Genomic DNA, 15,913 nt, shown 5'->3' with positions numbered 1-15,913 from the left:
TACCTGTGTTCAGAACGCTTATATTAGCCTCAAAGTCATCTAACACAAAGCCTATTTTATTACTAAGTGTTGAATATCTCATGTAACTTATCGAGTACTGTACTGAATGCATATCATCATAAACTTGAATAATCATGGGTCGAATGATCATTAAGTTGGGGACCATATTACCTAAAATATACTCTAGAGACTGTCAATAGGAAAAGATGCTGTTTTTCTGCTTTCACTTAATTAAATTAATTCAATTCAATTCACTCATTCATTCAACAAATATTTATTAAGCACCTACAATATGCCAGGCACTGTGCTGGGTGCTGGGGATACAACTGTGAACAAGATAGACACAGTCCCTGCCCTCAAGGAGCTTACAGTCTAGTAGTTATACAGACGAGTACACAGGCAATTACAACGCAGTATGGTAAGTGCCGTGATGGGGGAAAGACATGAAAAAGGGCACCTAACTCAGTCTCACAGGCAGGGGGGTGGTGGATAGCCATGGAAATCTTTTCAGGGTAAGTAAAATTCAGTTGGAGTATTGAAGGATGAGTACAAGTTACTCAGGTAAAGAGGAGACAGGGAGGAGTTACGCACTGAGGAAATAGTCTATGCAGTGCTCCATGTGCTGCTTTGGAGGTTCATTTGCTGACGGGAATAGCTGGATAGAAGTGAGAGAAGTCCTGGAAGAAATAAGCAAGCGCCAGGTCATGAAGGGGCTCATGTGATCTTCTCAAGAGCTTGGAATTTTTCCTGAGGGACTTGTGTGTGTGTGTGTGTGTGTGTGTGTGTGTGTGTGTGATTTATACTGTTTAAGATTGCTCTTACTGCAGCACAGAGATTGAATGGCGAATGGGATCTTGAGAGTTGATGGAAGAAAATCAATCCTTCAGCTTTTCCAACTTTATCTTCCATAATATCCCTGTACTCTCAGTAGCCCATCTAATGGCATTCATTCCTTAAATGAGCCACTGATGTGCATGGCTTTGGGCCACTGCTCACTCATATGGCTCTTAACACCTTCTCCTCCTGTTAAAACTCAACTCATCCTTCAAGGCCAGACTTCTGAAATCATCCTAACTTGTGCTTTCTGCCAATACCCTAAGTACATGATTTTTATCTGTATTAGAGTACTTATTTATTATTTCAAATGAACCAAACCTTCTTTTGAACCATGTTAGTTTAATTCATACATAAGGTGATTTTTATAAATAAACATGAGTATAATTTTCTTTACAATTTCCAGTTGAAAACAAAGACTAATTCTTCATTTGTTATCTACCCCAAGCTATTATGAATGCCTTCATATGATTTAAAGGGAACAATAGGAATAAGGGAAGAAGCCCAAGAGACACATAATTTTATGCAGCAAAATACAGTCAAGTAAAATTTCAACACACAATTACAAGGTATGTTGTTGTTAGGACAGTGATTCATTCCCCAACTCAAAGACTCCATCTTTGACAGTTTAATCTGTTAATGAGTCAAAGATCTGAAAAGGAGGGGTAGCTTAGTATGCAAAAAATAATGAGGGCTAGCTACATTTTCCACTATGGCCCACCACTAATACAATCTCTCTTATAGTCTTATAATTTCTCAAATAACTTTTATAACGATAAGAAAAAACTTTTAAGCTCTGTAGATATTGTAAGAACATCTGCTGTTTTATTCTTTTTGGTGGGTACAAAAACCACAATGTTGTACACAGAATGAGATTATAAATAATACCATTAACATGAGTGACCTGTCATCTCTTTCGAGTCTACACCGCAGACTGATGATTGAACCTAAACGTTTTCTTCCTTTTGCTTTTCTTCCTGGTTGTGAGACAAATGCAATCGGTGAATCGACTCATGTGACATAGTGAAGGTTACAGCAAACAAGAAGATGACCAACAACTTTTATAAAAAAAAGTCTCTAAAGTTTATTACAGTGATGGCATTTATATCAATTATTGCAATGTATTGTTCCCTAAGATGGTTAGAAAAAAGAATTGTGTTGTCCTCTACTGAATTTACGTCAGTTAAAAAGCAAGCATGTTTCAGTATTTGTTTTCTCCAAAGTAAGTGTACATACTTCCTTTATTTTTTTTTCCCACAGGTTTTACATGTTTGTTCATTATTTTCTTATCACAGTTTAGTGATTTGTTTTCTCAGCTGGATTTTCTTCCATGGACTATATGGATGTTCTGGAGACACAGGTTAGCATGTTCACGGACTTCTACAACTATTTTATCCTTTCCGGTGAAGACAAAGGCCTTTCTGAGCAAGAACTTCACAGTTTAATGCGCTAACTCATAAGTCTGATTAGTTTTTGAGTCCACTCGAATGAAATTTGTTGCTGTTAATACACCCATCCCAGATCCCTCCCCCACCCACTCCCCGAAAAAAACCTCAATTGTGAGTTTTCCTGATATAAAATCTGAGTTTGGGTTTCCGAGCTGAGCTCATGCACACGTTGCTGCTGCTGATGTCCGGCCAGCGCGTTAGGACGGACTTCCCGCTCTCAGCCAAAGGATTGGTTTAGCAAAGACCCGCGCGTGGCGTGTCCCTCAGGGCTGCGTTTCCACCAGTCACCAACAGTTTAATTAAGGCACTCAATTATTTTTTTGGTTTTTATGGTAGGTCCGATGCAATGACAGCCAATCCTGAACTTTGTCTGATTGCAGTTCCAGTGTGTACAGCCTTTGGGCAGTCAGGCGTCAAGACGCGGCCATTCTCTCCCACACTCCCAGTGATGGATAATCTGGCTTTGTTTCTTATGGCTTCAGAAAAGGTCAGCTGGGTTGCATGGAAAGGAAGCAGAAAGAACGCGGAGTGTTACCATATTTCTGTTTCTTCAACAATATGTTCCACAACAAACACCGAAATATAAATAATTAGACATCTGCATTTTTTCCATGTTCTTTTGGTCATATGAAAACTGCTTATCCAGGGAAAGGAAAGCTTAACTACACCGAAGAATGAATCTGTCTAGAGTTTGTGGTCCTACTTGTGGAAAAACTAATTCTAAAATTATAATATTTAACTACTGTTAGTAAATCTGGGCAGGAAACATCTTTTAACTTGCTGCACTGTATATCTTAGTACTTCTGGATGAGCTTAAAAGCTCTTTTATGTTTGACAACATTCTTTAAATAGTATTTCCTTGTCATGAAATGTCTTTACAGTGCAAGGATTAAACTACCAGAACTAATGAAGTACCTAAACAAACGATATGTATAGACTATTCATGACAGATCTTCCTGTTTTATAACACAGACCTATCCACAGACACTTCATTCATTCACACCAGTTATAGACATGACCCAGAACAGCACAATTAGTGACATATAGTTCACTCTATGCTATTATGGACACTAAGGCTCATATTTTAAGAACTGTATTTAAAAGGGGTGCACTGAAAAGGGATATGTTTCAAAGCCTACTGAATGGTCATGACTGGGGAACCTCCCATATTGAGGTTATAGAGTCAGGGATCTGAAATCAGTAAATTCCTGCTCCTTATCACATTACATAGCAGATAACATTACACAAAGGAGAAACAGGCACTGTTATTATGTTAGTCTCATTACTGTTCATTCACTGTCTAAATTCTTTCTAGTAGCTAGAATTATAACTTAAGAGGAAAATAGGGTAAAGGAGTGATTCCCTGAGTTTGTTATGACTTAGTTCATAACTCACAACTCAGCATGTATCTAATTCCCTGTTGTGAATTCAAGTTTATCCAAATCTTTAGGAAATTCCATCCCTGTGTTTATTCTGCCCTGGAGCTTAAATATTAGAATAATTATATATTAAGTAATGAAATTAGTAACTAGTTTAAAAACTGGTGGAGTAAAAATGTTTACAGATCAGTTACTCTGAAAACTTCAGAAAGTTGAAGTCAAATTGCTAGTAATGACATATAAATGACAAAATCAAGGTCAATCTCACAGTTCTGTTTCAGTAAACAGTCTTAAAAATTAATACTTATCATCATAATCAGAACTCAGGATATGGTCTTCACAGAAACATGTATAGTTTTTATATTTAGAAATCAAGGAAATATAACAAGGATTTTAGAGAAAAACAACACTTCTACTTGATTATCTTCTATTAGTCCGTTGAAATCAAAGTCCTTCTGTCTTTTATTTAGCACATAATAGGCACTCAGTAAATATTTGTTGAGTGGATGAATGACCTTATATAGGAAGATACTTTTTATCTTTCTTGTAAATGAAACTGATAGAATAATATACTAAAATTATTCATAATTTATCAAACCTGCAGAACTGTACACTAAAAAGGGTAGGTTTTATTGTATGTAAATTGTACCTTAAAAATGCAAATGAATACATTGCCCACTATTTTAAATTGAACAGAATTGAATTTCACTGCACCAGTGAGAAAGTTAGAAATGAAACAATTCAATTCCATTTGAGCATTTGAAAGAATCCCTTAATCAAGAACCTCACCCATATAGAATAATTTCACCAAGGGAACTAAAATGTGTACATGGCTGCAATAGTCTTGTTTTTTGAAGTGAGACTCTGGGGAGACTGTGTTATTGGAGGTGAATGTTTTCCTACTCAATATTAAAGTACATATGTTTTGGGTGTGTGTATAAAAAGAAGTATTAGCAAAGCAGGACTATTTATATCAAGAAAATCTAGCAACAAAATGTATTTAAGAAACATAAGACAAGACTTGGTATCAAGATGCTAAATAACTTTCTAGTGTAATCTTTTCCATTTTATGTGTTTTAGATGGACATTTTGGGGGTCAGAACCCTTTAGTGAGTGCCTAACTATATGGAATACTCCAGTTACAGCATTGGCATTTTCCACAATCTTCTAAAGAAAACAATTTGGGAGCAGATTTAGGAAGTTTATATTAGTTAGATAAAGTCATATGCTGATGAAAACAAGAAAAATGAATATCCACGAGTCTAATCCAAACCAATGTATTAGCCCATCTTAAATCTTTGAAAGAGTCCCCAAACCACTCAGAGTCTCCAAACCACTCACCTCTTGTTTAACAAGAGATTCAGGAAAGGTAGTTCCAGAGAATTCATAGGTATCTACTAATCACTAAATTTAAACAAAACCAAAATCAAAGTCTGAATATGTTTCCTTAGATTCCCTTTCAACATTTAATGTTAAGTAAAATAGACAATTATTTGTTAAAATCCACTAGTTTAGCTTTGTTTTAATTTTTCTTCAAGAGGAAATACTAAAATACCATTAATAAAAGCCTGGTAATTTTTAAAAAGTGTTTACAGAAGGCTTTTGCCAGAAAAATCTGTTTTTGTTTTCTTCCTTTTCTTGATCATGTTTGTGGGGAAAGGAAAACTTCCAAAGGTTGAACAATTCCATATAATCTCAAATACACCCTCCTATTTTATAGATTAATGCAATGAAGTGTATTACTTAATAAAACTTTGACTTATTTTTCTTTAAATCTGTTTTAGCATTTTTATTTCCTATACTTACATCATCTGTATCTTCCATAAAATGCCATTTCTATTCATCTTGATGTGAACCTTTTGAGGTTCCTCAAACTGGAAAACTTTCTAGTGATTTTACATATGGTCTGGGTTTTGTTGGATTGTTGTGGCTTATGTTCCCTTGAGGGATGATCACTTTTTAGTAGAATCTACCATGGATTGAAGGTGCCAGTTTTGTTTTTGGGATTCTGGGGCAATATTATTTTTGAATTACCAATCATTTCCATAATTATGGTCATAGAGTTTATGAAAGTTTTCCTTTAATTTGAGAGTACAATAAAAACTGCTTACTTATAAGTTTTGACAGGCACAGATTATTTCATTTATCCCAAATGCCACTGTCTTTTAAAATGTCCAATGAATGCTTCCTATTTATTTGAAATTTTTTTGTCTTAAATGTTCAAATCTACCTCTAAAGGCAATTCATGTAAGGAAATTCAATTTCAAGTTGTGACTCCAAAAACAATGTTATATGTAAATTGTATATATATGACGTGGGAATTTACATCTCCTTTTAATAACTTCCCTGAACTTTGAAATGAACTAGCATACACAGCATTTATTTCTAAAAATTTCTAATACTCTTTTTTTATTTGCTTTGCTTCCCCACCCTTGTACCTTGCTGATGATGGCTGGAGTGCCTTTGTTATGCCAAAGAAAAGTCAGTTTTAATGAACTGTTAACAAAATCTAGTAAGGACATCTTATAAAATTCATCTCAGAATTCAGTCCAAATAATTGGCTCTGAAAACTAATCAAGTATTGTTTTTCTCAATTTGAAAAAAGTCTCTCATCAACTCTGTAAACATTAAGATGAAAGCATTCCTCTAATGGCTAAGACACCTTGATATTATCCCACTTTGTAGTTTTGCTATCATAAGACATGCTAAAAATGTTTGGATCGAGTGAATTGAGGATTTAGTTCTTAATTCTTTTTCACAAAATTTGGAAAGAATCGTTTTGGAACTATCTATGTGCTATTGTACTCAGTCACTAATTTCTACATTATGGATGAAAGCAATTAGATCTTGATAAAAAGGGATGGCATTGGCTCTTTGCTTTAAGATACAAGTATTTCAAAAGCTTTCATATAAATAAATATAAAAAATCAAGCGTGTTTAGCTGGTGTAAACTCAGATGTACATCTTACTGAAAGTATATCGGGTTTTTGACTCTAGGGTACATCAAGTACCAAATATCTCTTGGAAGTTCAAAGACTCACTTATCATTGTAATGAAACTGAGCAGCCTATTCACTTAGCTATTATAGATAATTTTAGAAAATGGGTTTTAGAGTCCTGATTTTAGGAAGAGCAATAACAAATCCTTTCAGATCTTATTTTAAAGCTACTTCCTATTACTAGAGGAAAGAAGTGGACATTTAGATTTTTTTTTAAATCTCCAACTCCTATATTTTACTGAATGCTTACAATTTTTTATTATGCCATGATGAGAGGATGTGAGTAAGTGGGGCTAACCTGGATTGCTTAAAAGCAATGGAAATGAAAAAAAAAATAGTTTGTAATGACTCACTGCAATTTTTATCTTTTTCTGAATCTTTCCTATAGGACACAAATATTGCTGACGTCTCTGATGGAAAAACTGCTGTATTGCCTAAAATGTCTATTTACCTTAGTGATACTTTGAGCATAAAAGTTGAATTTCATCTAATAAATGTGAATTGTAGTCAAAATTCTGATGATCACTCTTCCTTAAAGGTCTGGCTCAAGGACTACCATCAGGTAAATAAAAAGTGGGATTTCATGTTTTAAAAATGTAGAATGATGGCTAATGTAAAACAAATTAGAAGAGGAGCCAAAATTCATTGAGCACATACTCTGTACCTTGGAGTTTTTACATGTATTGGTCCTCAGAAAACAATATGACTTTGTCAAAAATAGGCAACAGTCTGGGTTTTGATCACTTGGAACAGATTTTGTGCTTATTTTTTAGCACCTACCCTAAAATTGAACTGTTACAGAAAAGATTTGCCCAGTCTATGTGCAAGGAAGCCCAGATCTAATTTCCAATTTTCCCCAAATTTCAGGTAGAATATACTGTTTAAATCATTTCACAGAGCAATTCTGGTTTGTTTTTATCTTTCTGACCCTTGCAATGCAGATATCTATTGGCAACATAAAGTTTCAAACAGTACATCTGCAGCCAAAGAAAACCGAACCAATTTGCACTGAAGTTTTCAAAAATATAAAGCTCTAATTAGAAGCAAGCAATACCACCACTGGACAGACAGGTCACAACACTGCGTTCACAGGATGCATCCCCCACTCACTGTAGTCGGGCCTAAGTCCTACCCCTAAATTTTAATACTTTCGGTTCCATATACGTTGTAACCTTCTCTATAGGTTGCTAAATTCTGGGTATTCTGCGAGGAAGTTGGGTTAAAAGTCTGTGCACTCTTTGCCACCTTCATTCTCTTCGCTTCTGCCCTGGACTTGTAACAGAACTCTATCAAAGCCACCAGCATTGCCAAGCCCAAGCCGCCAACCAGAATGTAGAAGACGCCTGCTACATTGCTCAGGCTCAAGGCACTCGTCTTGTCCTAGGGGGGATAAAGACACTTCAGTTAACTGTGGAAATGTCACATCCAAAAGGTAAAAGAACACATGAAATCCAAAAAGCCAATGAAAGTAAATGCTTAATTTAACCTGAAATGATTTACAAGTATAAGTCACTGATGTAGGCTAATGGACTTAAACATAAATCTTATAGCTCTTGGGAGAAGTAAAATTATAATAGTTATCAACAAATTGTATCTAATTACATTCAATGAAATCAGTAACATTTTATCATTATTAAATATGCAATGAAAACCATTATACTTAGCCTTATATAAGCATTTATATATTTACATAGAGTGGCAGAAATGGGCTTATTATTATTAAGTTTGAAAATGACAGGTTTAAAAATCCAATTATGGGAGAAAGGGGACGTCTTTTAGCTTTGCTTCTATTAGAATATACTTTTAATGTTTGAGATTTCTCTTGAATAAATCCAACTCCGCATTTCCTAGTTGAGCAACTAAGGAGTTGTTGAGCTGATGGTTTCACATTTTGTTCATCATTAATTTACCAAATACATGCAAATAATGTGCCAAGGTACACATTATTTGTTCTTTCAGTTACATCTACAAGGGAAATCTCATGGAAAATGTTACTTTTGCATATTATATACTGTTTAGAAATAATTATCTATGTGTAACTCAAGTAATTTTTTAAGATAACTTTAAAAAATATATAAATTATTATGGTCAATTGAGAAATAAGTTATTTATGTATGGATGAATCTATAATTATTTTTATTAATTAAAAATACAATATAATTCCCACTTAAAAATGCTTAGTCCATTAATATTTTAGAGATATTATTTATTCTTCAGAGCTTCAGTATACATATAATCTCGTAATAAATCCAGAATAATCCCTAAGTCCTACTCTTATGATTGGAAGATACTAAAATTGTAACAAGAATTCAAAATTGTTTAATAAATTATAAATATGCTTATTACATAATGTTATTGCAAGAAGTATTTTGGTAGACTACCTGAAGGATGCCCTGTAGTCATTATCTTCTCAGCAGTATGTTTTGTGCAAAATGTGATTCAGACCCTTAACGAGTTTTATAGGAGAGTATTTAACTCAAAAGATGCACTATATACACTGTCACCTTAGTCACAACATCAACTGACTGGGCCAAACATTTTAGGGTAACTTCATTTTCAAAATAATTACTCATTAAGTATTTGCACTTGTCTGACTTTACATCAGGATTTCAGGTAATGGTTTAATTATCTGGCCAAGCTTGTCTCATTCCACTCTGGTTAAAGGGCAGACAGAAATGATTAAAATATAGGGATAAGGCCTGAAAGGGATTCATTAACATTAGTTTGTCTCCTTAAATTAATTGAGGCTCTCCTATTTAAAGCAGTCACATGTTTAATATCTTAGAATATCCAGTAATTTGTTTTCTTTCTTAAAGAAGATACAGAAAGAAATAAAAGGGGATTCCAAGAAACTTCAGCTCTGGCTTTCAGGTGCTGTTACTATATTCTATCAACTTGTGTAGGTATTTAGATTCACTGATAAACTTGTAATTTTTTTAAAAAATAAAAACATAACTATTTCCATTACTTTTATTTGTACTCAACAGAATTAGGAATATAGGTTCCTGCATTTTTTATTTTTTTCCTGCATTGTTTAAAAAAGAATTTATGATTAAGAGATCTTAGAACTTGAGAATATTATTCATAAACATTGATTAATTAAAACAATTTCAATTGGGCAAGTAGAATTGAAAGGTTCACTCTGTTTCTCTATCAGCACAGAAATATAATGGAGGTTCTTCAAACTAAAGTGGAATGCTTGGCACTATGGTGACAAAAGACTGAACCTCTGAGTAAGCATTTAATTAATATTTAGAATCTCCTTTTTCTGGTTTACTACTGATTTCTTGTTTTGAGAATATATCAGTTCTTGAAATAACATGATTTCATGAAGTCTTTGCCTCCAAAACAAACAAAAAAACTACCCCAAAAAACACTACTTTTATGAGTGGTACGTAAGTTTGAGAATAATGTAAAAGGAATTTTATTATTTAAGAATTTTTGCAGTTTTAATTTAATTTAAAAGTCTTAATATTGGGGAGCAGGTTGCAGTTTCCTGGGAAGACCATCCCTATGGTTGAAATTTATGACATTAGCTTTTAATTTAGGCAGTGGTTGAGTGTATAATGTTCAGTTTTTATGGTTTCCATATACTTTTGACAATTGCTCCCGTTTACTGCTTTGTGAACACAAGAGGAGGCCCCGAACTGCAGCGACTGACCTTGCTTCCAGAGTCCTTGGGTCCACATTCACCTTTATCGTACCACCATTTGTTTTTCAGCTTGTCTAAGACGCCTGCCTCACTGAGTTTCAAAACGGCAAGGTTTACAGGAGTTCTTCACGTGGAAAATAACATAAATAACATTATATATGTTATTTTATGTTATTCAAGTAAAACTACATTAGAATCGCATGGCAAAGTGACAGAGCAGAGGCCACAGTAGGTGCTATGTCTTGTACTGTAGGCCCAGGTTTAGAATCAGACATAAAACTGGGGCCTGCTCCATCGCTTTAGGTAACAGGCACATACTGCTAGGGAGGATTTTTAAATAAAATGTATGCAATTACTGTGAATCCAAAACTATTGGCCTTGGTTGGGTTTCTGGAACATTTACCATTTTCCCCACATAAATGTGGCAGCCATTCAAAATCCAGAAGCTTCTTTTTGTTCTCTTTCAAAATTAAGGAAGTGGCTGCAGGTTGACAGACAGACTGAAATAGAAGCTAGGTAGGACTGATTTCATTGCTTGCATGCATTATGATTCAGCTTATGGTATTTGACTTTATGCTATAAAAGTATGTCTACAGTATCCATCATTAAATTGACTTCTTGACCGCTTTCATCCAAAACCTAATTGAAAAAGGTGGGTGATTTCAGTGTTACAAAAGACCATCTTATGCAGAGGAAGGTCATCAGGAGAAAAATATGTAAATAATTATTTTAAAGCGTAAGCCCATGATGATACTTTCCTTCTAAATTGCAGTCTTTAACATAAATAATATCACCAGAAGCAATTTTCATCTATCTTGTCTATCTTGAATCTATCATCTATTTATCTTTTCATCTATCTTGAATCTTAAAGCATATTAATGTACTTTAAGTACAAGGTGAAGTGACTATAATATATTCCACAAATTCTTAGCAACAAAAAAAGACAGACAGGTTAGAGGTAACCAAGATTTTTCTGAATAGACAAACTCCTCTTATAAGAAGACTCTATTTATATTTATTAGAGACTCTATTTGTCTCCTCTACTATCTTTGATTCCTTCAACACTAAATATTATATTAGGAGTTTCAGGGAGGAGGACATCAGTCATTACCTGGCGTCAATATTCCAAGGAATTTAATAATTCTTTCCGTTTTCACTCCCATATTACAATATGAAGGCTAAGATGATGAATGGAAAGCAGAAAGTTTCAGGATCTTTTGTTGTTACCATTTTGTTGGCTTATTGGTTTTTCATTTCATCCCAAGACAGACTTTTCATATTCTTCTGGACATTTTGCCTGGTTGTATCCCCTAATGCGCCTCAGTTCTTCTAGGAAATGCTGAGTGCATCTGGAGTTACAAGACATGCATTTATTGGGAATTCATTCCAAAAACCTATCTATACAACTAGGAAATGCATTAAGAATGATGGTGATCATGACAGCTAAAATTTACTGAGCATTTACTATGTACCAGGCACGGTTAAAAGCATTTTTCATGTTCACTAACATCATTCACATTTTACAAATGAGGAAACCAAAGCACAGGGAGCTTAATTCAGCAAGTTACACAGCGAGGCAGTAGCCTAATCAGGATTCCTGATAGTATGATTTCATAGCTTTTGCAATTAAAAATATTAATAGCAGAAGACTCACAAAATGATGTTTCTAGTTAATTGGGCCTTCTGGTTAAACTAAAACCCATTTTTTTTTGTATGGTTAGTTTTGAAAAAAATTCTAAAATACAAATTTTTATTTTTGTTTATATGGTTTCAGGATATAATTTAAATTTTGTTTCAATGTTATATTAGTATGGCTTAGGTTCATTGTTCCACTGAAGAAGTAATATATATTTGCCATGATCCTAGAATATTATGTTGTTTTTTGGATTAAAATCTGACATGAGCATGATTTAATACTTTCTACTAAAAGCTGAATTTGAGGGTGGGGTGAGTTGAGGATTATGGTTAATTGGGGTGCCTGGTTATTTTAAACCCAGTTAATCTAGGTTTTCCTATCCATACCAACCACTACTCTCTGCACCTGACCCCCAAGCCCCATTTGTGACGTGATTGTTACAATAACCACAACTGTGGGTTTGCTAGTGACCTGCAAATCCTTTGAGAGCAGAAGTCACATCTCATTTATCTCTGTAAAATGGTATTTTCCAGAGTAGCTGACTCAGAGTAGGTGCTCTATAAAGTAGCTCAATTTGAAAAATGACAGAGCAAGATTTTTGAATCCAGAGCAAGCTTTTTTCTTGAACTGATACTCTAAGGGTTTTTAGGTCCCCAGGCAAGCTCCCCAAAGCCTTTGTAACACATGGGTGCTAAACTATATTATCCTATATTTCAGTTCTTGAATGGGGTGGGCTGGGAGGAGGAGGACTCAGTGCTGAAAACTGGAGGAAAGTTCGAGAGTTTCCTTTAAGTTTCTTCAAGAAGGGACAATTGAAGGCAAAATTGTGAATAAGATGAAGACTGCATTAGGCTTCTCTCTCCCCTCTTAAAGCAGTCTTTTCTCCTATGGCCTTCTTTTTCCCTCTGGCCTCTTTATCCTTTCTGCTATTTCACACCTGTAACCCGGTTTTAGAGGATTAGATTAACACTTTGAATATAAGATATTTAGTATTAACCATAATTAATGTTCAACTGGTGGACTATCAGAACAAGGAATTCATTACTGGGAGAGTCATTCTCCAAGGGCTAGATTCCTTTAGTGTTTTTTGTTTACTACAACTTTTTTTCCTTTCCATTTTTTCCTGCTGATGAATGCATATTTTCTGTACTAATTCCTTTATTCTTGCATTGGTTGTCATGGCTGTGATAGAGGAAAGTGGCTTATTTGTAAGTATAGCATCTATCAAAGTCAGAAATGGGCTGTATTCTTCAAAGGGCCAAATTATCAGGAAGTGCACGACCAAATATAATACCTAGAGAAAGCATTATTTGGTATAATAACACTTACAAAATAATTTTATATGAATATCCACATTTATGAGTGTGCATATTTTACACATGTAGAAGCAGAATAAAGTATAGAATTAACAGAAAAAATAATTTTGTAACTGTAATAATGGGTGATTGATGGTTGCAGCTGTTGCCAAAATTTCTAACTAGAACCAGGATTGAATAACTGGCATAAAAATTGGCCTAAAATTCTTTGTATGGTTTGTGCTTTGACTAAACCATACTAGGTTAACCAAAGTGGAGAATACATTTTAGACATTGCAATCAATATTTTTAAATTGGCTCATTCATTGTCAAGTAGTAAATTTTTGCTATTTTATTCCCAAGATTGAGTATGAATTTCTTATGACCATAAAACAGGACCATATCACAATAATATTAACTCATATGAACACCATCAAAGGATCAAGTTTTCAAATGAAGGAATTTGTACCCCACAAGTCATGCATTTCTGCTTTAATTTATTTCGTGTAAGATGCAGGACCCTGTTCTTCATATCTGTTGTTAATTTTTTACCTTTCAAGGTGAAGCCTCTTGGCTGAGGACTGCTATGGTCAGAACTTCACAGCACTGAGAGTGGCTGTCAGGTGAGTGGGGATGCTAATTACTGCACGGCCTGGAGTGTGACAGGGAAGCTGCTGCAGCGACCCCAAATAGTCTAATTGTTCCTTATATTAAATCATGAGCTCCTTGAGGGAAAGAACAGTGGTAATTCTGTTTCTATACAGGTACTGGCACATGGCCCCATTCAAACACAAGTTTAATAATTTGCTGCTGAATGGAAGGCTGGAGAGGTTACAGTCCTGTGAATGACAAGTGAGTCAGCTCTCTCACAGAAACCTTTCCATGTGTGGTACAGGTTTCCATATTTCCCTTCTTCATTAGATGAGTCACTGTTGGGATAGTTAGTTTTCTCCTACCAAGATTCTGTATTTGAAGGTCAGCTAAGCCAGGATTTCAGCATGTGTGTGCTGAGTTCTCTCTGTATTTTCCCTTCTGCACTGAATTGGCAGCATTGGTCTTTTCTGCTTTAGTTTTACACACAAAGGCTTTAGAGTCAGTTGCATTTCTCACTTCAGGACTTTTTCTCCTTATTTTACATCTTTTGATGAAGATCAGGCCAAATGGGAGGGGTAAGGTAAGTTTACAAAGAAAATCAGTCACCTGAAAAAGGTACAAAATGAAAATGAAAAAGCAACAACTGTCTCCTAGTAATTTATTTCGATTTAAGTTAGGTCAGGCCATTTAAAATATCATCTTGTATGACAAATGCAGAGTAGGGTATTATTAACATTTAGAGTGCAACAATCTATTCTCTTGATAAACCTTAGACCAATAACAACCTACGTGGATTTTTTTTTTTTTTTGGTATACAAACACATTCCTGGAGGAAAAAATAAAACATAATGTATTTCATTTTGGGAGAACATTTTATGTTAATTTTTTATAACATTTTGGAAACCTACTTGTTAAAATTTGAAATAGCGTTCATTCTAAAACATTTTGTAGTTCATGTTTGGTGAAAGTAATGTCACTGCATAACTATAAGAAGAAGCAATTCGGCTTTGGAAACTACAGGGTTAGAGAGAAATTTATTCTTTTGGACAACAAATATTTATGTCCAACAAATAAAAATGTCCATTATGTACCAAACAATGAGTTGGATACAAGCTAATTAAATCTGACTGAGTTGTCCAGTTCATTTCAATAAATTAGAATGACTTTTGTTACATAGATTTTTCTAACATATATATGTTTCTGTTATGCTTGCTTATTTTTCTCCAGAAAACATCTTTAATGCACGCTAAAATGGGACTTCATTATTTATATTTGTGGAAAATTTTATCTGTAAAGCAGTGTTTTACTTCTCCTGTATTTGTGATAATAAAAATTTGAAAACTAAATTTTTTCTAATGGAATAGAATATCTTTGTTTTTATTTTCTCTGGTGTTATTCTATGATATTTTCTGGTATTTCTAATTTGCATGAAAGAATGCTAGGCTATTAGTATAAAATTTAATACTTTTCTCTATGTATATATTTATATGTTTATGAAAACTATCAGAAAATTTCAGACAGTTGGAGCTCCAAAATATAAAATAAGTTATTACTCCTTAAGACAGTGCCTAGAATGGAGACAAAAGTTTGTCCTTCCTCCTGCTGCAATAGAACTAGTTATTAGATGGGAAGATGTAAGTGAGCTTAATTTGAAAGGCTTTTTAGATCGGGTGAGAAATTTCCCATCCATGAACTGTTTTCTTTAAGTCTAAAAATACTGATATATAGTGAAGAAGGGCTCTGGGACACTAGCATATTCTGTTAATTGCCTACTTTTTTGTTCTTTAGATATTGCTTAGAAATAAAAAAAACTATTATTTTAGGAAGCTGGAGTTAAGATATGAAGTGAAGACAAAGCTGAGTTGATTTTATTTTTGTTTCCTGATCATTTTGCAATTTGATCCATTTATGGAAGGCAAAAAATGTGTAGTTCATATGACAGCCTTTGATTTGTTATTTAACTTGAATAGAACCTGAGAGTTTAGATGGAGAAAACTTTTTAGTGGGCACCCTAGACAGGTCTATGTGGAGTCAGGTTATTGCTGATACTAAGCAATATTTGGTAGAAGTTCTGGTA

The 15,913-nt window shown here is 34.2% G+C and overlaps 1 protein-coding gene, 1 long non-coding RNA gene and 1 pseudogene across 24 annotated transcripts in view; 2 read left to right on the top strand and 1 right to left on the bottom strand.

Moving 5' to 3' along the window:
• Positions 1-258: 258 nt before the first annotated feature.
• Positions 259-15,913, bottom strand: part of GRIA4 (glutamate ionotropic receptor AMPA type subunit 4) — a 372,097-nt gene continuing 356,442 nt past the window's right edge. For 10 of the 23 annotated variants that reach the window (NM_001440383.1, NM_001440395.1, NM_001440382.1 and 7 more), the window contains 2 exons: positions 7,905-8,039; positions 259-2,774 (listed from right to left, as the gene is read on the bottom strand). In NM_001440383.1, the coding sequence (NP_001427312.1) occupies positions 2,610-2,774; positions 7,905-8,039 (300 nt within the window). In that variant the 3' untranslated portion in view covers positions 259-2,609. Of the gene's footprint in view, positions 2,775-7,791; positions 8,040-10,309; positions 10,436-15,913 lie in introns of those variants that run through there. The other 13 variants (NR_046356.2, NM_001440386.1, NM_001440388.1 and 10 more) reach the window with 4 other exon arrangements.
• On the top strand, positions 2,663-15,182 carry LOC124902743 (uncharacterized). Its single transcript, XR_007062873.1, has 4 exons — positions 2,663-2,769; positions 7,048-7,221; positions 7,942-8,091; positions 13,803-15,182. It is a non-coding gene; the product is annotated as an uncharacterized LOC124902743 (long non-coding RNA).
• On the top strand, positions 7,418-7,523 carry RNU6-277P (RNA, U6 small nuclear 277, pseudogene; annotated as a pseudogene).

The sequence above is a fragment of the Homo sapiens genome, chromosome 11 (assembly GCF_000001405.40).
Source record: "Homo sapiens chromosome 11, GRCh38.p14 Primary Assembly".
In the NCBI taxonomy this organism is placed as follows: Eukaryota; Metazoa; Chordata; class Mammalia; order Primates; family Hominidae; genus Homo; species Homo sapiens.
This window is presented reverse-complemented; position numbering and strand designations above follow the sequence as displayed.